Source organism: Homo sapiens, chromosome 12, assembly GCF_000001405.40.
Source record: "Homo sapiens chromosome 12, GRCh38.p14 Primary Assembly".
Lineage (NCBI taxonomy): Eukaryota > Metazoa > Chordata > Mammalia > Primates > Hominidae > Homo > Homo sapiens.
Window position 1 is genome coordinate 54,093,805 of NC_000012.12, and position 23,906 is coordinate 54,117,710.

The 23,906-nt window shown below is 49.0% G+C and overlaps 2 long non-coding RNA genes across 2 annotated transcripts in view; both read left to right on the top strand.

Moving 5' to 3' along the window:
• The window catches only part of FLJ12825 (uncharacterized LOC440101), a 63,981-nt gene that overhangs the window by 35,551 nt on the left and 4,524 nt on the right, over nucleotides 1–23,906 (top strand).
• Nucleotides 8,405–8,895, top strand: LOC100240734 (uncharacterized). The gene has a single exon (NR_026657.1). It is a non-coding gene; the product is annotated as an uncharacterized LOC100240734 (long non-coding RNA).

The window sequence follows — 23,906 nt, forward strand, 5'->3', positions numbered from 1 at the left end:
TGAGGAGAGGCGGTACGCACGTTTTGGCCCCTGGACTGGTGGGGCCTTGGAATACTAAATACTCTCAGTTTCCACTCTGAAAAGATGCAGAAACTTGAGGTCAGGAGAGAGGACATTTCTGCATGCTTAGAAGCTCAGAAGCCTCGCAGGTGAGAGGATGGAGTTGGGAGCCAGGCAGAGGCAGGAACCCTCTCCGGGGCTCCAGTACCACACTCACACCCCAGAGCCTCACAGTGCCCTCTGGGTTAGCCTGGCTCAGGTGTGCACCCAGTTAGGTCCTGCTCAAGTTTTCCAGAGAACAAGGCCCAGTGCTTCCCCTCCACCACCTGTCACATTGTTGGGAGGCCTTTCTTGATGTCTCACTCTAGTTCCTTCGACTTTGGTTGCAGCCCATGGCTTTTGATTCTGCCCTCAGTGGAGATGGAACATGCTCTTGGAGATGATAGCTTCCAGTGACCCAGGCTGTTCCTCCCACTTGCATACACAATTTTCCTTCAGGCCCTCTAATTCCACCTCAATCTTTTTTCCGGACTTAGAAGACACATGCCTGTTCTTTCAGCTACCCTCCCCCACCTGAATTCCCAGTCTGCTTCCATTCCCAACCACCTCATTCTTGCCCTGCACATCCCTTTGGCATTATTGTCCCCAAGTATGCTTTGGTCATGAAGATGGTAAAATCCCAACCTAAAGCTAAGTCCTCCACCAGATTCCAGAGGTAAATCCAGCCTAGTCTCTTTGTTAACTGAATCTCTCCATTTTGGGTGATGCCCTAGCCCGACTCTTGAACTTGTGCCCAACACTCTGACTCTCAGATCCTCACACATGGCCTGTTGTGAGATAAGGCACAAGTTCACCCCAAGCCTGGGATGGCCTCCCCTCTGTTCTCTTCTCCAAACCCTCCCCTGGTGAACCTCATCCTTTGCATTTACTCACTAAGCAATTATTATTGAGCACTATTCCAAGTTCTTAGAATAAATACATTGGTGATCAAAACAGAGAAAGACCCCCCGCCTGTGTGGAGTTTACATTCTAGCAGAGAGAGACAGATAATGAACAATATTCTTACTAAATAAGTAAATTATATCATATATTAGAAAATTATAATTGTTACAGAAAAGGAATAGATCAAGTACAGAAGGATCAGCATGGAGGGGAAATCTGAGGTTTTTAATATGGTTGTCAAGGAGATCTCACTGAGAATATGGTATTTGAACAAAGACTTAGAGGTGAGAGAGGAAGTAAGCCCCATAGACATCTTGGCAAGAGTATTCCAAGTAGAGGGAGTGGCTGGTGCTAAGGCCCTGAGGCAGGAACATGCCTGGCAAGTCTCTGGGAGTGAGCAAGAGTGGGAGGAGATGGCATCAGAGAGGTAAGGAGGGAACAGACGATGTTCGGCCTCGTAAGTCAACTTAAGGACTTTGTTTTTTACTCTGAGTGAAGTAGAGAGGAAAGACATGATTGGGCTTCAGGGTCTTGTTTTGTTTTGTTTTGAGAGAGAGTCTCACTCTGTCACCCAAGCTAGAGTGCAGTGGCACAATCTTGACTCACTACAACTTCTGCCACCCAGGTTCAAGTGATTCTTATGCCTCAGCCTCCCAAGTAGCTGGGATTACAGGCACCTGCCACCATGCCCAGCTAATTTTTGTAGTTTTAGTAGAGACGGGGTTTCACCATCTTGGACAGGCTGGTCTTGAACTCCTGACCTCGTGATCCACCCACCTTGGCCTCCCAAAGTGCTGGGATTACAGTCGTGAGCCACTGCACCTGGCCTGGACTTCAATTTTTAAATAGTCTTTTTGTCTTTTGTGTTGAGAATAGATCACAGAAGGCCAAGGGAAGATGCAGGGAGATTTGTTGAAAGGTCATTGCACTAATCCAAGTGAGAAATGTGTGGCTTGGACCAGGATGGCAGCAGTGCATGTGGTGAGAAAGGCCCAAATTCTGGATTTGGTGACAGTTTCCTCTTCCTTGGCTTCCATCCTTTTGCTCTCTTTGCTTCCTCTCTTCTTTTCTAGGTTGTATGTTTTCTCTCTTCTTGAAGGCTGAGAGCTCTCTGTGGATGGGGCTCAATCTCTGTTCCTGGGATCCGGGGCAGGATCCCAGGCAAAGGGCAGACAGGCCCCATGCTGCCTGGGAACAGGCTGACAAGCCACGCAGCTTCACAGCCCTCCCCAGTTACAGGGTCCCTGAGCCAAGGGGAAGAGGCTCCTGTTTCTAAAGAGGATGTGATGGGCAGTTATTGAAGGCACTCAGCTGGGGGCTCCACTCTAGTCTTAATCTGAGCCGCCCTCAAGGAAATCATAACCAGCTCTTAAAAACATGTTAAGACCAAAGCTGGTGCGTGTGTTTGAGCGGAGCTTCAGACAGCTACTTAACACTGGGGGCTTCTGGGCTTTTGATTCCTCCACTTCTAGCCTGCCATCTCCCCACAGCTGGCTGGTGCTTATCAGCCAAGACGTTGTTTAAATCACACTCATTTCCTATAAACATTTCACTTGAAATGCCATACTCTGCTCCAGAAATTCATCTATCACCAGCCTAGGGGTGTAGTTGAGGAGCCTTGGGGTGATCGCTCCCCATCTCTACCCCTGCCCCCAGTCACCCCTCCTCCCATGACCCATATTCTCAGGTTTCACGCCATAAGAACTACTTCCCCTCGGTGTAACAGGGCACTTAGTGCCAGAATTATTTATAACATTGAGATGGCAACAGGGCAATAGGGAGCAGCCCAGCCCATGGACACTTTCTCTTTGAAAGCTCGATCAATGGACCTAGATCACTGTTTACTACTTGGTGTCTCGGCCTCTGCCGTGTTTCCTGCTGGCTTTGGGGGATGGGGAAACAGGGGTCCGGACCAGGTCAAGGCTGTCCTCAGAGTTTAAGATGCTTATAAGCCAGGCCTCCAATAAAGTTATGCCTTCACTGTACCTCTATTCCTTGGCCAGGCACTTCCCTGCCTCAGGTGAGCTCTCTTCTTGGAAATGAACCATTCTTGGGGCTTTTCTCAAACAGGAGCCCTCTGCCTCCCCCAGGAAAGCTGGCATTATGTCCCTACCACAGTGGCAGAGCTAGGACTTGAGCTGAGGAAGTCATCTGATATGGATCAGAATGGGGATGTGGAAGATTCCGGGAGTTCTTCCGAGGAATGGCTTGAATTGGCCCCACCCAGTCTGGAGTGGAGGTAGAGGGATGGATGAATTCACTTCTTAAGGACTGAAAACCTTTTTACCATCCTCTTCCTCCCCAGCTATAGCCAATTACTCATTGTCCTAATTTGAAGGCTCTGTTGTCTGGACTGGAGGATTTTTACCCATTTTCCAGCCTCTCTCCCAGTCTCATTTATTTGGGCAGTGTCACATTAAAGGCATTGCCAGACTTCCTAGTCCTTCCCAAAGGCCTGACCCAACTCCTTCCCAAATGGTGAAGCACCTCTGCCTCCTTCCCTCTACACCTGTGGACCTACCACACTGGGGAACTCCTAGGTGAGTTCCAGAGAAAGCCCAGGTGAAAGACTATGAGCCAGTCAGAAGGGATCAGGGTAGAACCCAAGTTGGGACAGGCAGGGGAGGCAGTCCCAGTCTTTAGGGGGGTCAAGTAATTCCCCTTTACAAGCCAAATGAAGAAAAAAAGTTCTAAGGGGAGCATATGACTCCATAAAATAAAGGACATAATTGGGAGCGATATCTAATTTATCTGTTGAATGCCTCCTACGTACTCTTTTATCACTTAGATGGACAGAATATAATTGGTGTGCTGAACGCCATCAATCTCAGGGCCTGGGCTTCCTGTGCTGGCTACACCTATTACTGTCAGATTATGACACTGTAATACCAAGATCAATGACATTTTAAATGTGCTCCAGTTATGGGCAATTGCTGACAATAAAAACAGTGACAAATTGATGAAACTTGGGCAGCGATGATCTGGTGTCAAAAATAAACCATAAATAATCTGATTTCCAAATTGAGAGAGGTGCCTGGGACACCAGCTTAGGGGGGAAAGGCCCAGCGAGAAGAGAACCTATCCTGCCCACATGATCTTGGCCACTCGGAAGCCACCTGCTCTGGAAAACTCCCTCTAGGCTGACCTGCAAGGCCCCAGCAGGAAGATGGAGAGGTGGTCTTTGGTTAAGGCTTGGGTTCCCCTTAGAGAGAATCGTCATCACTGAGACTCTGGGAAGTGTCTGTGTGTGGCTGCCAAGGTGGGCGCCACACAAACTCACTGAGATACTGGTGGGTGGTCTTTCATGTCCTGCCCACACTGAGGAATTAGGGCAGACTGGTTGAGTCATAGAATCACACTTAGCCAATGTTAAAGCTAAAAGAGACCTTGAGAGTCTCTCTTCATGGAGGGTCAGGCTCTGTCCTCCAATCTGGCTCAGCAGAGGGACCTGGATCTTCCCTAACTCTGCTTCAACTTGCCCCAGGCATTATTTCCCCAGGCTAATCCCCTTCCCCACCCGTTGCAGGGAACTCCAGGCCTTCAACCAGCAGAACTATTTTGGCGTACATTAAGGTGGGCCTCCTCCAGCTCCTTTTTTTTTTTTTTTTAAGACAGAGCCTTGCTCTGTCGCCCAGGCTGGAATGCAGTGACACAATCTCCACTCACTGCAAGCTCCGCCTCCCAGGTTCATGCCATTCTCCTGCCTCGGCCTCCCGAGTAGCTGGGACTACAGGCGCCCGCCACCACACCTGGCTAATTTTTTGTGTTTTTAGTAGAGACGGGGTTTCTCCATGTCGGTCAGGCTGGTCTCGAACTCCTGAACTCGGGTGATCCACCCACCTTGGCCTCCCAAAGTGCTGGGATTACAGGTGTGGGCCACCATGCCTAGCCTCCAGCTCCTTATTTTTAATGGATTACCTTAATTTGTAGTATTCCTTTCATACATTTTTCTCACTTTAATAATCACAATTTTAAAATATGAATACTTTAGTAGCATTGCTAATACTACTTTATATAATAATACTTTAGTAGTATTGCTAATACTACTATTACAAGGATAACTACTATTGGGAAGCATTTATTGCGCAACTACTATATGTAAACTGTTCCAGGTGTTTCATGTGTATTATTTTTCATCCCCACAGCAGCCCTGTGGGGTGGGTATTGTTCTTCACATTTTAGAAGTGAGGAAACAAGCTTAGAGTCGTAGTGATGTGCCTAAGATGACACAGCTGATAAGCAGTGGAGCAAGAAAGGAGCCTGGGATGTGGCTCAACATTCATCTTTTTTCCATTGCCCCTTTCACAGACCTTTATATTCCCATTTATAGACGGGGCTGAGGGCCTCCCTAAAGAACCTATAGTTAGTCAAAGGCAGAGCTAGACCTAAGCCTAGCTTTTCTGACACTTCTCGTATTAGACCTGCATTGTACGTATTTTTTTTTTAAAGACTGGTCAAATGCAGTAGTGAGAAGGGGGAAGGAGCAGAACAAGGATTTGGATCTGTAACTGACTGTGAACAATCAATTGAGATAGGGCACTACCTTTGGACCACCCCCCACGCTCTTTCCAGATGCACCACAACAGTCCTTTCCCCAGGTCACCACCACTCCCTCAGCCAGGGGCTTCAGCCTTGGCCTCTAAGAGTCAGCAGGGGGTCACAGTTGGCTTTGAAACCAAGCAGACAGGTGTTTGAATCCCCACTCTGCCACCTTACAGCTGTGTGGCTTTAGGCAGATGGTTGTGAGAATTTAAATGGCATAAGCATATAAAAGCATTTGGCGTAGAGTCTGGCACATAGTAGTGCTCACTAAATGGTAGTCATTAAAGATACAACCTGGGACAGTGGCAGCTAGTTTAACAAACCACCACACTCCGTAGCACCTCTCACCTGGGTGCAAGTGCCCCAGGCCACACTGCAGTAGCTGCACGCTGAGGGTGTCCCCAGATATATAAGAAGCCTCTCCAAGGGCCACAGAGGTTTTTTGATGGCAAATGGTTTAAAACATCGTTTTTATATTAAGTTGTATAAAATATACTATGTTATAAAATGCAAAGTTTGCATCATTTTAGAGCTAAAACTTAAGGCCACAAAAGAATCTATTTTCTTATTAATAAAAAATCCTATTTTTATATAATGCAAATAACGAAGATGAAGTAACCTATTATTTAATTAAACATGTCTTTAAAAAAAAAAAAAAAAGAAATAATTGGTCCTTGCTAATGGCCCTTCAGGGCAAGCCCCCAGACTGCTGGGGTCCAAGTTTACCCTCCTGCCTCTAATATCAAAGGGACTTTGGCAGAAAAGTTTGAGAAACCCTGTCAGGAACAGAGCCTACACAAGGACCACGAAATCTGACTTCTTCATTCTTTAAAAGAACAAAACAAATAGCAACATTGTTTTTTCTACCTTCCTACTGTTTTACCTTCAAGTTTAGCATTAAGAACATGAAATGTTTTGTTTAAATTTATGATTCTTATTTCTGATTCCTTTCTGTTTAATAATTACTAGCTGAATCATTAATCATCAACCAAGTGAATGGTCACACTTTATAGAAGGCTACAAGGTGGAACACAAGATTTGTTGGATTCTTAAGAAAGAAACTAAAAGCTGCTTGCGACTTAGATGCTCCTAAGTTTTATGACTGTGGTGGGAATTTGAGCATCCAGGCCTTGCTTCTGATGGTCCTCTCGTTCCAGTGCCCCAGTTCTAATCCTCTGTGGGTGCCCTCGGTAGGCACAGCCTTGGGGCTGCCCAGGGCTCAAGGCATCCATGTTTTTAAAGTGCCCAACAATGGCTTTTGATTCATCAGAAACTCCACAGGACACCCACCTAACTGGGGCTCTGATACCTAATTCAGCAGCACCCACCACCAAGTCTTTCTAAGTTTTATTTTCTTTTTAATATTACATGCAATATATGTTAATTATAAATAAACGTAATAATTCAGGTAGGTGAAAAGGAGAAGGAAAAAAGGCCCAAGTAGTTTCCCCACTGAGGAAGAACCCTGGTTAGCGAGGCAAGTCACGTGATTTTGGGAATCGTGTTGAATCTACACCCATTTAAGGTGGAAGTCTATATAGCTTGATTCTTTGGTGGTTTAGAGCTCTGCTCCGTTTAGAGTTCAGGGAGGTGGTATCTACAGGGTGTATTGCTCTGATAAAAATTAGCAGCCTGCCCAAGTTCAAGGTATGAGGGGACTGATCACAGATTTATTTGAGAATCATTACGTTGGCCCTTTGGTGACTCTAGGGATGAGATCCAGAGTACAAGGGGCCCACACTTCCAAGGGATCCCACCACACCTTCAAATAGCAGGCTCATGGAAAGAGGATTCCCAGATTCTCCCCCTCCAGCTACGGCATTGCTTTACAATATTTAACATTCCTTGACTAAAGAGCAAGTCTAACTTGCAAGTACTCCTAGGACAGGGACTGGCTTAGATCCATGACAGCTCCCTCTCTGAGAGAAGGGCGTGCCTTACTCCACCAGACCAAACAAAACTAAAGTGACCTCTCTGCTCCCCCCAGAGAGGGGCACTGGGGATGGTAAAAGCATTTCTGTCCCTGAACCCAGGGATGAAGTAGAGAAATGCCACTTAACCATAGTCAGGACCCAAAGAATTGTGAGACCAAGCTACCAAAGGCTCAAGTGAGGGGCTGGAAAGAGTGACAAAAACAGAGAAGGACAGAACTGTGAGCCACCGGACTTCATTTAGGAAGTCAGTGCTAGGGTAACAGGAAGGATTGGGCGGGCTTTCAGGGGAGTGGAACGTGTTAGAGAAAGAACAAAACTGAGTGGAGACGCAAGGCAGGAGATGGTTTATAGGTGAATTAGCAGCAGAGGGTGGGTGGTGGCTGTGCCTGGGGCAGGGGTGGTGGGGTGAGGAGGTGGGGGTGGCAGTGCCTTTGAGGGAGCTCTTGCAGAGGGCAGCCTTTTGAGGTGAAGAGCCAGAGCTCTGGGTCTTAAGAGTTGGAAAGCAGGTTATATTTCACATCCTTCCCTGAATAGAGAAATTGAATTTGGTCAAGAATAAGTCCTAAGAAGCAGTTGTGAGCACCCCACCTGTCCATCTTGTTGATGAATATGGAGTGGGAGAAAAGTTGAGTGTGGGCATCTGACAAGGTCTTTATGATCCTAGATGCACTTACTATACCTTCTTCCTCCTCCTCTGCCTTGGCTAATGGGTTGTGGGTACCCACCGCACAGAGGGCTATAAGACAGTCCTTGTGGCTGATGCAGAAGCTGGGCCCTGCCCTCCTGGCCTTCTGAGGAAAGTGATTATCGTTTTTGGCTTGTTTTTCAACTATCCCTTTGCCCCCAGCAGGACTGAACCTTTCCACTCTTACCATCTCTGGGTCCCTTCAGATCTTTTATAGCCTTGAACTACCTGCTACAAGATTTTTTTCTGTCCTAAGAATGGAGGTCCGGTCTGCTTCCTAACATTAATCCCTTCCACACGGCACAGCCTTGTTTTCTCTAGATCAGAGAGATGGCTTCTGGATTCATCTTTCCCTGCAATCCAGCTTCTCCTCCTGGGGCCCTCATACTGGAGACTGGGATCATCATCCAGGCTTTTGCACTGGGCCAGGAATTTGGGAGTCATCCTGGATCCGTCTGCCCCTGTCAACCTTTCGCTGTCAACGGATATTTATTGGGCGTCCTCAACAGCCAGGCCCTGTTCATGGTACTGAAGAACAGCTTGTATAAAACAACCCTGCCCTCACAGGGCGATCACCAGTGACCTGTGGTGTGGAGTCTCCTTTTACCTATGTCTCCTCCTTCCCACTGTCACCATCCTTGGTCCTCCTCTGTCACCTGGAATACTCCACTTGGTAACCAGCATGATCTTATAACGCTAGTTTTACCCTTGTCAGCACTTTGCCAAAAACCTCAAATAAAGACTTTTTTTAAAATGTGCAATGGAAAAATAAAGTTATAAATTATATCATAACCAGTGGACCTCTTTTTAAAATGCACTGAAGCCTTATAATGTTATTCATGGATATATATCTATGGTAAAAATAGAAAAAATATATGATGGTGGTGCCTCTGAAAGGGAGGGGAATGGTACTGGGGAAGGGACAAAGGGAACTTCAACTTTATCTGTAATGACCTGTTTATTTTGAAACTCAAGAGCAAAATTGACAAAATTTTAACAGTAACTTAACAAAACCTCAAGTCTGGATAGTGGGTTCAAGAGTGTTACTTTATATGGACAGGCAGTGACTCATGCCTATAATCCCAGCACTTTCAGAAGCCAAGGCAGGAGGATCTCTTGAGCCCAGCCATCCTCCCGCCTTGGTCTCTTGAAGTTTGAGACTAGCCTGGGCAGCATAGTGAGACCCTGTCTCTACAAAAAAAAAAATTAACAGCAACTCAGGAGGCTGAGGCAGAAGGATTGCTTGAGTACGGGAGGTCAAGGCTGCAGTGAGCTATGACTGAGCCACTTCACTCCAACCTGGATGATAAAGCAAGACTCTGTCTCAAAAAAAAAAAAAAGTGTTGCCTGTAATCCCAGCACTTTGGGAGGCTGAGGCAGGTGGATCACCTGAGCTCAGGAGTTCGAGACCAGCCTGGCCAACATGGCGAAACCCTGTCTCTACCAAAAATACAAAACATTAGCCAGATGTGGTGGGATCAGTCTGTAGTCCCAGCTACTCAGGAGGCTAAGGCAGGAGAATCACTTGAACCCAGGAAGTGCAGGTTGCAGTGAGCCAAGATCTCACCACTGCACTCTAGCCTGGGTGACAGAGTGAGACTCCGTCTCAAAAAAAAAAAAAAAAAAAAAAAAAAGGAGTGTTACATTAGTTGTCTGTATTGTAGATACACTTGTCAAAATTTAAGCCATAAAACCCTCAGTGTCCCTCACTCTTCCCACCCCCTTAGCCTGGCCTGGCATACTGGGTCTTTCACAAGCTTGTGTCAACCTCCTCTACAGACTCATCTCTACACTGAGGGACTTGCAGTTTCCAAGTGCTCTGGCCTTGGGGCCTTTGCCCATGCTGTTCTCTTCTGAATGCCCTTTCCTGCTTTGCTACTTTGTTCTTGCCCTTCTGGATTCAGCTCCTGGGAGGCCCTGTGGATAGAAGTCAGATGGCTCAAGTAGGCAGCTGGTTAGGACCCAGGAGACAGAAACGTGTCTGGGGAGGACAACACTTTCTTGTCCTGGTTTCTATTCAGCTGCAACTAGAGAAACAGATCACCTGTTTCTTGTTCAAAACTAGGATCAGTGAGAGGAGGGTGGAAAGAGTAAGATCCTCCACAGTACCCTCCCACCTCCCAGCCTCCCCCCACATAGACTAGCCCCAAGGCAGAAACTTCCCAGCAGAAAAAGGAAAACTGATAACCTCATTCCTTGGTCTGGCTCTGTTAGGATTATCATCTGGTTTCCCCTGCTGGTGTTGGAAGAGCTGTGTTGGTGCAGGCCAGTGCTATCCTGTGACTAGAGGGAAGAAGCTCTGCCTGGGCCTGATTTGGCCACAAGCTCCTAGTAAGATGCTGAAAAGGAACACAAACTCTAGGCCCAGGACGCCCTCCCCATGCCATCCCACACCTGACTTCTGCGCACCTTGTGAGCAGATCAGATTTGGTGTTGCTTCTTCCACATCATCCTCGCATCCCCTTTCACAGACTCGGATATATCCCCTCATGGGAACCTATGGATCTACAGCATATCTATGGATATGCCACCCCATGGCAACTGTCCTTTCCCCTTCATAGCATACATCACCCTGAATTATAGCTGCCTGTTTATGTATGTGTCTTCTGCACCAGGTGGTACTCCCTGATGGGGCAGGGATTGGGTCTGTCTTGTTCACAGTTGCATCTCCAGCACCTGCAACTCTGCCTGGCTCAGAGTAAGTGCTCAGTACTTTTTGTTTTTGATTGAATGATAGAATGACGAGTGAACTCTATTTCCCACTAGACTGTGAGCACCATGTTGACAGGGACCATGCCCTGATCATCTCTGGATCCTTAGGGCCTATATAGTGCTTGCCACATAGGAGGTGCTCAGTAGACACTTATCGATTTGAGTGAATGGACTTCAGTTTCTCCACTTACAATCTGAGTAAGAGGAAGATATTCTTTGTCCTCTCTCCCTCCTTCTCCAACCACATTGGGGGTTGTGGTTGATGCTGTGAGGTCATTCCTGCCTTATTCAACTTCATGTCCAAATCTTCTAATGGCAAAACACAACATGGTGGCCAAGTCTCAGAGTCCAGGCATCCCTCCCATAGCCCATAGCCAAGTATGGGAGAAGGGTGCTTCAGGGTCTCTCTCCATTCACTTTAGTCTCCAGCATTAGCCAAGATCCCACTGTCTACCCTGAATTCTTCCTGCTATTGCACAAGGCTTCTTTCATCTTACTGTATTGTCAGGGAAAATATAGCCAAGATTATCTGCTCCTCAACCTGAAGTAACATATAGATTCTGCCTAATTTTAGAACCGGTGTTAGCCAGGTGTGGTGGCTCACACCTATAATCCCAGCATTTTAGGAGGCCAAGGCTGCAGGGGAATCGCCTGAGTCCAGGAGTTCAAGACCAGCTGGAGCAATATGGCAAAACCCCATCTCTACAAAAAAAGCAAAAAAATTAGCTGGGTGTGGTGGCACATGCCTGTAGTCCCAGCTACTCAGGAGGCTGAGGCAGAGGATCATTTGAACCCAGGAAGTGGAGGTTGCAGTGAGCCAAGATCGTGCCGCTGCACTCCAACCTGGGTGACAGAGTAAGATCCTGTCTCAAAATAAAAATAAAGAATAAAACCAGTGTTTCCACATCTGGAACTTTCTTTTCAAGTTTATATCACCTCTCCTTCCAAATCAGGTCTCCCCTCCTCCAGGAAGTACTCCTTGATTAAGCCAAAAATGTTTTAATTTTCACCACTTGTCCTACTACTCTGCATCCCCACAGCACTTGTAGTTTGTACTTATTCCCTATCCTGTTTAAGTGTGTGTTCATCATCCTAACCATACTGCATAAGCAGGCACTATTTTAAGTAGGCTTGACAGATTATCAGAAATTGACAAGAAAAAATACACACGAAGAAGAAAGTAGAAGAGGATTTTTTCTTTTCTTTTCTTTTTGCTTTATCATAGAATTTCTTGTCTTGGTGCTTACAAGCTGTGTAGCACAATGAGAGGAGAATGTGATTTCTGCAAAACACTTCAGGAAGCACAAAGTATCTGTAAATACCCAGGAATAATGACCATGTCTTTTATTTGTATTATTTTTCTAATTCCTCCACTCTATAGGGCTTGCCCAAAGTCCTTGATTTTAGCCCTTGAGTGTTGGTTGGCTGACTTAGCTTTGGATTGTGGTCCCCTGAGATCGCTGGATCTTTTTAAGCTTTAGAGTTATGCCCTACCATGTGGATGCAAGTGGAGGAAGGACTTCTCAGTGTGACCCATGAGAGGAGTGGCTCTCCTGGGCCCCAGGCCCCAGGCTGCATGCGTATGGGAGGGAGGAGGAGAAGCAAGGAAAGGAGGAGAGACAGAAGTATATACTGAGCTGGTAGTTGGGGGAAGGGTTGGCGGGTGGGGAGAAGGGAAGAGAGGAGTCTGGGCCAAGGCCAGAGGTGTCTCCCTGGGGAGTCCTCGGAGCGGGCAGCCGGACGTCGCTCCATCCTTCCCGCCTGACGGATGCGTCTGCTGCGCAGGCACAAGCTGTCGGGCCAGGCCCTGCCAAGGCAGAACAGTGGCGCTTCTGTGCGCGCTGCTCCGCTCCGCTCCGGAGGATGGGGCCCGCCCGGGAAGCCAGGGAGTGATGGAGAAAGCAGACGTCCCAGAACAGGAGCCGTGGGGTCACAGAAGCACGCCTGCCTCCCGAAACAAGGGGCCACAGGACGAGGTGGGAGGGGACCGGGAATCAACGCGGGGGAGCGTTTGGGGGAATTGTTGGTCGAAAGAAGAGAGGCAGAAGGACGCGCGCTGAAGGAGCCTGGGGATGAAGAGCTCGATGATTTGGCCACAAGCCCCCTCACCTTTAAGAACAAAGCTTTCTGCATTCAGTTGCAGAGTTTTGTTTCCCGGTCAGATGCTCAGAGACCTTCCACCCTGTCCCCCACCCCTCAGCCTTGCCCATCTCCACGAGCATCTTCCGCGCCCTCGCCCGGGACTCGGAGCCCACCACCCTCCGCCTCCGCCTGGCCTGGCCCGCGAGATCCCTGCCGCTCCAGTTCGGAATCTGGGATCCGCAGGCTCCCAGATCCGCCCCTGGCCCGGCTCCGACCCGCCCGTCAGCCGCCTCCCACTCAGCGTTAATTAAAACTTGCGAGATGGAGAGGCTGGCGCGGACGGCTCCGTTTTATTTGCAGCATCTTTCATGCTGCTGACGATCGTAAAGGGCTTTAATATTGAAATATGGGCCATTTTCCCAGCTCCAGCCCTCGCCGCGCTCTCTCCGCACCCCCACACCCAGCCACCCCGCGCTTGATGAAAGAGCCCCTGCAAATCCATTAAGGAGAGATAATTGAAAACTCCGGGGTAATATTTAAGACCGCGTGCCGACGCGGGGTGGAGGGCCTAACTGCGCCCGCTTTGTCCGTCAGTGCTGGTGCGTGCCAGTCCCTAGCGCTCTAGGCCCACCAAGGCCCCGCCGACGCCCAGCCAAGGCCCGCCGTCTTAGCGGTGCCTCCTCACTCCCTGCACTCAAAGGGCTGGCTCTGCGCTAACCTGGCTGTGCCTGGAGACCCGACTTGCCTGGAGACCCGAGTTCCAAAAGGAGCCACAGGGCACGCTGTGTGACAGATGGATTAGGGCCAGCATGAACGGGGGCCAAAGCATCTTGTCCCACTGCTTCAGCTTCGGTTTGGTGCACCAGCATCAGGCACTGCTCAAGCTTCTGAGCACGGCATCCCCTCTGCCTGCAAGCTTTTCCCTCCAGCACTTTCTACTTGCGGAACTGCTGTTCCTCTTTCAAAACCAACCCAGTTCCACCCCAAGTAAGTGCAGTGGGGTATGGAACGTGGGTGGGAGTATAGACACACCAAGATCCTGGTGTGACCATTGTTGCAGCTGCATGATGAGGACACTATACTGCTCTGTTTTCGTATGTTTTCAATGTTCCACAACAAACATGTTTAGAAAGCAGCTGAGGCATCTTCTTTTACGCCTCCCTCTCCCATAAATACAGACTACCTGTTATCTTGTACATTGATGTTCCTTAGCACATCGTGTTGCCATTATCTGTTTAAAGTCTTTCTGCCTACTCAGCTGTGACATCTTCAGAACAGGGATCAGGTCTAATTTCACTCCTTAGCCCTTGCTCCAGGCCCAGTGCAAGGCACATAACATGCGCTCAGTAAACATCACTGAATAGGCTGTTCTCTGGGTACCTAGAAGTCTCTAGGGCTTAAGGTTAGGATACAAGCACACGGAAGGAGGGTAGGGCAAAGCATGGAAGAGGGGTGGGGTCTGTGAGGCTGGGTTGGGGGTCATGTCTGTCTCCCACAATGACTGGCTTCAGGATGTTCCCAGAATGGGAAAAGGGTGGAGGACCATGTTCTGCACTGTGATTTAGGAATCCTTAGGTCTCTACCTGGGACTTTTGGGGATGTTTCTCCACTTCACTCCATTTGGCTTACTCTCCCAATCAGGTTAGACACACACACACACACACACACACACACACACACACCACCACACACCTTAGACAGGGAAAGAGTGGGAAAGAGGGAAGCAGAAGAGATTATTTGAAGACCTACTTGTGCAAAAGGCATGAGTAGTTCAGGCATTTCCATGGATACCCAGCTAACCTCCTACTACAGGGCCTTTCCTACTTACCCCTGTTGCCCAGTCTTCCCCAACACTGTGTCCAACACCCATACAGGGGTTGTACTCACAGGATGGCACTATCGAGGAAGAGGGGGCTGTTCTGACTCAGCCCCCCTAACCGCACATTGGCCCTGAAGCCACAGTTGCAATGATGCCCTCTCTATGGCCAGAATGAGATCCAAACCATTCCAAAGTTCCATTTCCAAACAAGGACTCCTCGTTAGAACCACAAAACATCAGAGCTGGAGGCAACCAAAAGAGCACTGTGTCCCCTCTTAGTATCTGTGGGGCAACTAAGACTTAGAAAGGGTCTGTGATGTGCCCCAGGTCACAAAGCCATTGGTAACTGGGCGGGCGGGGTGGCTCACGCTTGAAATCCTAGCACTTTGGGAGGCCAAGATGGGTGGATCATTTGAGGTCAGGAGTTCGAGACCAGCCTGGCCAACATGGCGAAACCCTGTCTCTACTAAAAATATAAAAATTAGCGGGCAGTAGTGGAGCATGCCTGTAATCCCAGCTACTCAGGAGGCTGAGGCAGGGGAATTGCTTGAGCCTGGGAGGCAGAGGTTGCAGCGAGCTGAGATCACACCACTGCACTCCAGTCTGGGCGACAGAGTGCGACCCTGTCTCAGGAAAAAAAAAAAAAAAAAAAAAAAGCCATTGCTAACAAAACCAGTGCTAGAATCCCAGCAAGTTAGTGGTGGAGCTGGAATTAGAATCCCAATCTCTTGACCCACTTAAATATATACAATTGGTATTCGAAATGCTTTTCACAAACATTATCTCATTTAATTCTCTCTCTCTCGATAGGATCTCACTCTGTCACCCAGGCTGGAGTGCAGTGACATGATCATGGCCCACTGCAGTCTCAAGCTCCTGGGCTCAAGCAATGCTCCCACATCAGCCTCAGGCACATGCCACCACACCTGGCTAATTTTTGTATTTTTGTAGAGACAGGGTTTCGGCATGTTGCCCAGGCTGGTCTTGAACTCCTGGGCTCAAGAAATCCTCCTACCTTGGCCTCCCAGAGTGCTGAGATTACAGGCATGAGCCACCGTACCTGGCCTCATTTAATTCTCACAAACCTATGAGATAGCGTCACAATTCCCATCTACAGATGAGAAAAATGAGGCTCAGGGAGAGCCATGATTTGTCCAGTGTCATACACGGGTGGAAAACAGATCCAGGATTTGAACCCCAGTTTGACTGGCTCCAATTCCAGTGCCCTTTCCACTCACTTCTCCAGTATCTCCCCCTACACCCCACCCAGCCAAGTCAGGCCAGTTTCCCAGACACTCACCCTTCATCCCTGGACATCTCCAGCCAGAGGTCTTTTTTCTCCTTAGCCCAGCTTCCCCCACCCAGGGCAATGTTCTTTGCCCCAGATTTGGAGGTGGCGGTGTGGTAGTCCCCGCCGTGGTTCTGGGTACAGGCCTCCATGAACTGAAGCCATGCACAGCCTGGCCTCCTGTGCGCAGCCCTACTCCTGTTCGTGGCCACGGAGGCCTCAGCCATAAATCCCCAGGTCTCAGCTCATAACCATTAGCAAGCGATTGGGCTCATCAGGACGCCTTTATGAGACTCAGGTCAAATAAATGGATTGCCGGAGGTCAGGAACAAGGGATCTCCTTGGCTTGCCTTGCCTTGCTTCCGAGATGCTCCCACCACGCAGAGGTTGGCAGATTCTGTTTGACTCACAGCTGTAGGTGGAAGTGGGGGCATTGTCACAGTGGGATAAAGATGTACAGTATCCCCTGGTACTCCACACCCATAGAAGGAAAAGCGCTTGGAGATGCACATCCTCAGATAGCCCACAGTCATTAGGGCTGGAGGAACGCACACACAGAGGCACATATACACACTCAGACCCCCATCTCTGATTCAAATCCACTCTTCAGCAACCAACCCCCCAACCCCACCCATCTCATATCCTCTGATGTCCTCACACTCCATTCCTCCTGTGAGGTATTTCCTGAAACACTGCTTCTCAAACACCACTGCGCATACAGATGACCTGGGACCTGGTTAAAATACAGATTCTGACTCAGTAGATCTGGGGTGGCACCCGAGCTCTGTTTTCTAACCAGCTTCCAGGTAAGGCCAGGGCTGCTTCTCCAGAGATTTTAAGCAATGGTCCTCCCACATTGGAAGGGTAGGGTCTTTCAAAATGTAAAAGAGATAGGAGTGTGCAGTTTGGGAAAGCTCCTCTCCCACTCCTATCCCCCAAATGCTGCTGTGCACACCCAGGTGACTGAACTGTTTCTAGAATGCTGTTACCTCACTCTTTACATGGCTCCCTCTCATTCTTCAAACCTCAGCCCAAGTGTCACTTCCTCAGAGAAACTTTCTCTGGCCACCCAATTTATTTTATTTTATTTTATTATTTTATTTTATTTTTTTGAGACGGAGTTTTGCTCCTATTGCCCAGGCTGGAGTGCAATGGCATGATCTTGGCTCATGGCAATCTCCGCCTCCTGGGTTCAAGGGATTCTCCTGCCTCAGCCTCCCAAGTAGCTGGGATTATAGGCATGCGCCACCACGTCTGGCTAATTTTTGTATTTTTAGTAGAGACAGGGTTTCTCCATGTTGGTGAGGCTGGTCTCGAACTCCTGACTTCAGGTGATCCGCCTGCCCCAGGCTTCCAAAGTGCTGGGATTACAGGCGTGAGCCACCATGCCTAGCTGACCACCCAATTTAAAGGGTCCCTGCTCCACCCTGTCTGTGATTACCCACTTCACAACAGGTCTCAAAATTGCATGTATGTATTTGCTAACTTGCTTACTTATTTTTTTGTCTGTTTCACTCTCCGAAATGTATGGTCCTTGAGTTCAGGGATTATGCCTGTTCCATTTATTCATGAATTCTTGGCAACCGGTGCCTAGTGCATAGTAGATACTCAGTAAATATTGCTGGATAGGCCAGTCACAGTGGCTCATGCCTGTAATCCCCATACTTTGGGAGGCTGAGGCGGGCAGATCATTTGAGGTCACGAGTTCGAGACCAGCCTGGCCAACGTGATGAAACCTCGTCTCTACTAAAAATACAAAAATTAGCTGGGCATGGTGGCACAAGCCTGTAATCCCAGCTACTCTGGATGCTGAGGCGGGAGAATCATTTGAACCTGGGAGACACAAGTTGCAGTGATCCAAGACTGCCACTGCACTCCCACCTGGGTGACAGAGGGAGCCTCTGTCTCAAGAAAAATAAAAAAAATAAAAAATAAGAAATAAAAGATTATCTGAAAGAATATCTGAATCCAGGACTGAGGCCGTAGGTAATCTGAGAAAGTATCTTGGAGGAAGGAAAATGGGAGGAAAAGAACATTGTGTGAAGGACTTAAGAAAGGTGACTCGAGGAAAGTGGGGAGGCAAGGGTATTCAGATAAGATTGGCCCCATTGGTCCTGGGTTGATATGACAGGGGTGAGGAAGGGTCCTGGAGGGAGATATCCTGGGGTTAGCAGCAGATGCTGCAGGGTCTTGGAAACCATAGCAGGCACTAAGAAGACACATGGGCTTCCCTCCACCTCATGGACAAGGACCTTCATTTTTATTCATTCTTTCCTACACTTGACAAATTCTTACTGAGATCTTATTAGGCACCAGGCACTGTGCTGGGTGCTGAATATTCAGGAATGAGCACAATGGGTCTGGTTCCTACCCTCCTAGAGATTACAGTCCAGTGGGAGAGACTGACAGTAAACATATTAATATGTTACAGTTGGGCCAAGTCTACAAAGGATAGGGTATGATAACAGGTATGATGGGTGGGTTCCCTAGGGAGAAGATTCCCTAGGGAGTGACAGTCACCCAGAGTGCTGATGGGTGGAGGTCTTCCTTGCCAGCCCCCTGCCAAGCTTTCATCCTGGACATTCCTGCATTCCTCTGCACTGTCCCTTTAAGAGGAGCATCTCTTCCCTGAGCAAAGGCGGTTCGGGCACACAGCCTGAGCCTGCCAAGGTTGTGGGCTATAAATCAACGCTGGCACTCCCTTGGCAGTGGGCTCTCCTCTGAGCTGCCCAGATGGCGGGCAAGCCTGGGGCTCCAGGGGCAGCCAGGCACTCAGGAGGGGGGAGGCGGGCATGGTGGGGACACAGCTGGGCCCCAGGCTCCTGATGGCAGCTGCCCACCTCTGTCTAAGGGCCCTAGGCCAGGGAGAATGCCAAAGTCCTTCTATTCTAGTCCCAGGGACCTTCCGACTCCCAAGTCAGTCTGGCATGGGGCTGTTGGGATTATTGTTCCCACCCCAGCCAGGGACCAGGGCCTTATAGGCATCCTCTGAGACCAAGGGTCTTGGATGACCTCTTGGGATCACAGTCTGTTCTAACATTCAACCTGAAAGTTCTGCCTGTGGTTTGACCTTCTTTCCTCTTGCTGTAGCCGAGGTGTCTTCTTTTACCCTGCATGAAAGATGAAAGACAGTAGCTCCCCATTTAGTGGGGGCTTTGGGACTGTGTGATATCTCCCTCCGCCTTCACTTTAAGCCTCCCAGAAAAGCAGAATAAAAAGATTCTTCAAGGTCAGTTGGAGAGATGGAACTCTGCCCTCTTGGGGGTTGCCATCCCTCTGCCACCCTCACAGGTGCTGTGACAGAGGGAACATATGTTGCTCCTACCCCAGAGGACAGAGACAACATCTTAGCAGCCACAGCCCCACAGAGCTGGGCTCAGCAGGCCTTGACAGAACTGGAAAGGCAGGCTCTCTCCTGGGCCTGGGCCTGGCCTGAGCCTGGGTTGTGGGTGGAGGGGTGGAAGCAAAGCCTGTAGACCCCTCCCAGAAAGGAATCAACAGGCTTGACTGCTCTCCCCACGCTCACTCCCAAACAGTAGAACAGTGGAAAATTCATGGGTTCCAGAACAATAGAGATTTCCTGGGATGTCCTTGTCCTCAGATTCTCTGTGAGAAGTCAGAGTTTACAAGTCCTTAGAGATTCTTTCTCACACACTCATCATACAGATTAGGAAACTGAGATGCAGAGAAGTTCACCCAGGTCTTTTTCAGGTTGTTTTTACTACACCACATTTGCCACCTGAACAGAAACTCCCAGAGCTACCACTAAGCAGGATGTATTAGACTCTAAAGGTAGTAGTATAGATGGAGGTTAGATAACAAGTAGAACTTTCTCAGAATAGTAGGTCACAGAAGAAGATGAGAAGCAAAGTAAAGAAAGTGCATTCTCTAAAACAGTGGGGTGGGGGCGGGAGGGATGGAGCCAAAGAATCAGGTTAGAATTTTGCAAAAAGATAGAAATATAGAGAACACAGGAGAGGGAGCTGGCATAGAGCCCAGAGCAAGGGCAACTGGGGTGTAGAGCTTCTAGGGTTCTTCATTCAGGACCCCTAGATTTCATCTGTCCCAGGCTTCTGGGTATCACCAGTAGTTTAAAGTCAGGCCTTATCTGGGCTGATTCTCTTGGCTTTCTCCTTGTTCTCCCGGGATGGCTTATCTGGCTGCCAGAGTCATTTGCCGTCTCTAATTTGTGTTTAAATTAAAGTTCCCACAAACAGAGGTTTAATGTGCTGTTACCAAGAACTCCCAGGCCCCCTGCAGCTCTGGGAAGTTGAAGGGGCTGGGGAGAAGAGGTCAGTCTGTGCGCATCCCATCGAAGCTGATCCCACTGGCATTGGACCTGGAGTGGATAGCCCAACTAAGTGTCTCCGTCCTTGCTGCTCCATCCAGAATGGTGATGACAGGGGGCAGGGCAGGGAAAAGCATGCTCACAAAGGGCCTGGGACCAACATGCCTGTTCAGGGGCTCCTGGGTGGCTGTTCACCCTTTTTCAGGATGGTGAGGAGAAGGCAGGGGAGGTGGGCAATGAGAACAGGGCAGGGGGTGGAAAATAAGGTGAGAGCAGGAGGCTCCATTCTTTAACACTTGTGTATGGTGCTCACTGTGTGCCAGCACTGTTCCTGGGCACCTCATAACTAAAAATTCAACCTTCTACACAACCTGTAAGGCAGGTGTTATTATCATTAGCCCCATTTTTATAGATGGGGAAACAGAGGTATGCCCAGTATCACACAGCTAGTAAGAGGCAGATCCAAGGAGTCAAGCCAGTGCCGTCTAGCTCCAGATTCCCAGTGCTATGCTGACACTTAAGCCAAGATTTATCTGTCACCCTCCCAATCCCTTGATCACAAGGTGAGGCTTCTCTTTGCCAGAGCAACTGAGACAGAGTGAAGCTCCCATCCTGCTCCCCCGATCTTTACCTCTCTGGGCCGCAGTCTTCTCATCTGTAAAATGAGGATAAGATACTAAGAGGGGTTGAGGGTCTGAGAAGGTTTAATGAGACAGCTTGTCAGTGACCAGCACCGGGTAGGTCCCCAGCAGTGGCTGCTTCCTTCTCTGTGGTCTAACCATGAGCCTTCCTGCTGTGCCTTCCTGCACTGCCTCTTAATTCTGCTTTCAAAGGAGCTAGCGGCAGTGATCCTCGCCCCTTAAAGAAAACCCTCAGGAGAACGTTGTCCCTCATTCATTTGTCCAAATTCTCTCTCTTCCTCTGGGAAACCCTGAAAAAGAGGGATAATAAAGCTGAACTGGAGCCCCAACCTGCTCTGTCCCCACCTCCTCTGCACCCAGGTGAGCCAGTCAGGGCGGCAACAGAAAATAAATGACACATTCGAAAGGGTTTCACTGAAGGGTTTAGTGATGTGACAGTTTCTAAAGGCATAGACCAGATGAAGAAAACTAATAAGGGCTAGTGTGGCACTAGGATAGAAATATCTCTACCAAAGCCCAATGCCAACTGGGGTCACGGGACACAGGAGAGAGGCCACTCAGCAAAGCTGTGACCATGGGGGAACCACAACCACCACCAGAGCTTCAGGCAGGCAAAAAGGGGGAGTGACAGGGAATGGGGGAAACAAATACCCTGACTCCTCTCTCCCCCTTCTCAGCTGGGACCTCTATTGGCTGAGAGATCAGGGGGCCCAGGTGACACAGTCTGCAGAGGTCAGCCTCCCTGGGCAGAGCAGCACAGAGAACACAGTGGGGCAAACAGAAAACCATCCCCGTCCCATCCCACCCACGAGTCCCTGCTCTGATACCAAAGCCTTCTCTCTGCTGCTTTATTGCCACCTCTGTCACTGCCTGCAGCCAAACAGTGACTGACAGGGAAGGAGAGTCAAGACTCCTTCAACACAAATACTCCAGCTCACAAGGAAGGTGGGATCCAGGCAGAGGGCAGCTTGAGGGAAGAGGGCTGTGTCTGAAGGGCAGCAGGGCAGGGACTGCCCACTCCCAGCATGGAGAGACAAAGAGAAGGACCGCACTGGGGGTGAGGATGTCAAACGGCGATAGTAAATGACTCTCTTTCCTCAGCATGTGATACAAATCACTGTGGATCTTCCTTCCTCCTCCCCTCTCTAGACCGGGAGCCCCTGTGGGGAAGGGATTTTGTCTTGTTCATCCTTGACATCTAGCACAGTGCCTCTTAGGGGCATAATCAGAATTTATTGAATAAATAAGCAAATAGATATGTAAACGAATGAACAAACCCATTTGCAGCTCATATGCACAGCCCTGGGCCCTGGTCAGGGAGCACTGTTGAATGAATGACATGCAGCATTCCTACAGAAGTTTTCTTTCAATCAGTTCCATCATCTACCACCTCAGGTTTCCTTTCAGCCACTCAGTCACGGGCCACACAGCCCACGTTTGTCTCCACGCTGGCCAGAGCTGTGCTTTGATAGCACCCACTCAGATGTGCAGTGACCTCATCTGGCTCCTCCCGATGGAGGAATAAGGGGAGTAGCAAGTGACTTCCTTTCTCACAGCAGCCTTTCTCTGAGCTCTTTCTTGAGAGAAATCTTGATCCATGGCAAACCGTCTGTGGTATTCTTGGCTGCAGCCCTTGGCAGGAGATGGGAGGAGGGAATGACAGTGCCAAGGAGGCAGCTGAAGGATCGTCACCCTGGGAGCCACAGCTCTGGCTTGCTTTTTCCAATGGGCCATAAAGACTGAGGGAGGCAGGCGGAAGCAGGGGCACCAGACTAACAAACTAGAGTTTCAAGTGTTGTCCCCATGCGAAGCCGACCTGGCGAAGTGGTTAGACACAGACACTGGGGCTGGGCTCAAGATCCCTGTTCTACCACCTGCTGGCTGTACAACCTTGGGCAAGATACTTGATTACCATGCCTCAGTTTCCACATCTTAAAAAATGTGAATAACAGTAATGCCTACTTCACATCGTGGTGAAAAAGTAGATGAGTTAATAGTTATGAGATACAGCCAGGCCTGGTGGCATGGGCCCATAGTCCTAGCTACTCAGAAGGCTGAGGTGGAAGGCTTGCTTGAACCCAGGAGTTCAAGACCAGTCTGGGTAACATAGCAAGGCCGCTCCCCCCGCTTTTTTTTGAGATGGAGTTTCACTCTTGTTGCCCAGGCTGGAGTGCAATGGCATGATCTCAGCTCACCGCAACCTCCACCTCCTGGGTTCAAGTGATTCTCTTGCCTCAGTCTCCGGATTCCAGGGATGAACCACCACACCCAGCTAATTTTTGTGTTTTGTATTTTTAGTAGAGACGGGGTTTCACCATGCTGGTCAGGCTGGTCTCGAACTCCTGACCTCAGGTTATCTGTCCACCTCGGCCTCCCAAAGTGCTGGGATTCCAGGTGTGAGCCACTGCGCCTGGCTGCAAGACCCCCATCTCTCTAAAATGAAAGTTTTGAACTATTTAGGAGAGTACATGATCCATGGTAAGCTCTATATAAATTTTGTTACATAAAATTAAGGTTGTAGTCCCATAAACTTTTTTCTGTAATAAGCTGCTCAGCCTTAGATACCTCTCATATTTGCTGTGAGAAGTGAACAAATGCATGTGAAAACTATAATGTGTTTATAATTTTTATTATTTGTCATCAAGATCATGTAAGAGACCTGATTTAGCAGAGGGTGAAGGGATGCGAAAGGGGCTGTCAGTCATCAACTTTTGATTATCTGCCTTGTTAAGGTCCCCTTCTTGTCAACATCATCAGCTCTTTGGCTTGTTCAAGTCTTTTGTTGACAATATCCAGGCCTCTCATGGTCCCTCCCACACACAACGGGCCACACAGCAAGGGCTGGAAGGAAAAAGCCTTTGAAAGCAAAACAGGTCCTTCCCTTCCTTAGCCTTGAAGCGGGAGTAACCACTAGACAGAAGGCTGTGAGGGAGGACTCTGGCACTTCCACTGTGGCTGCTTTGCCTTTGGGCA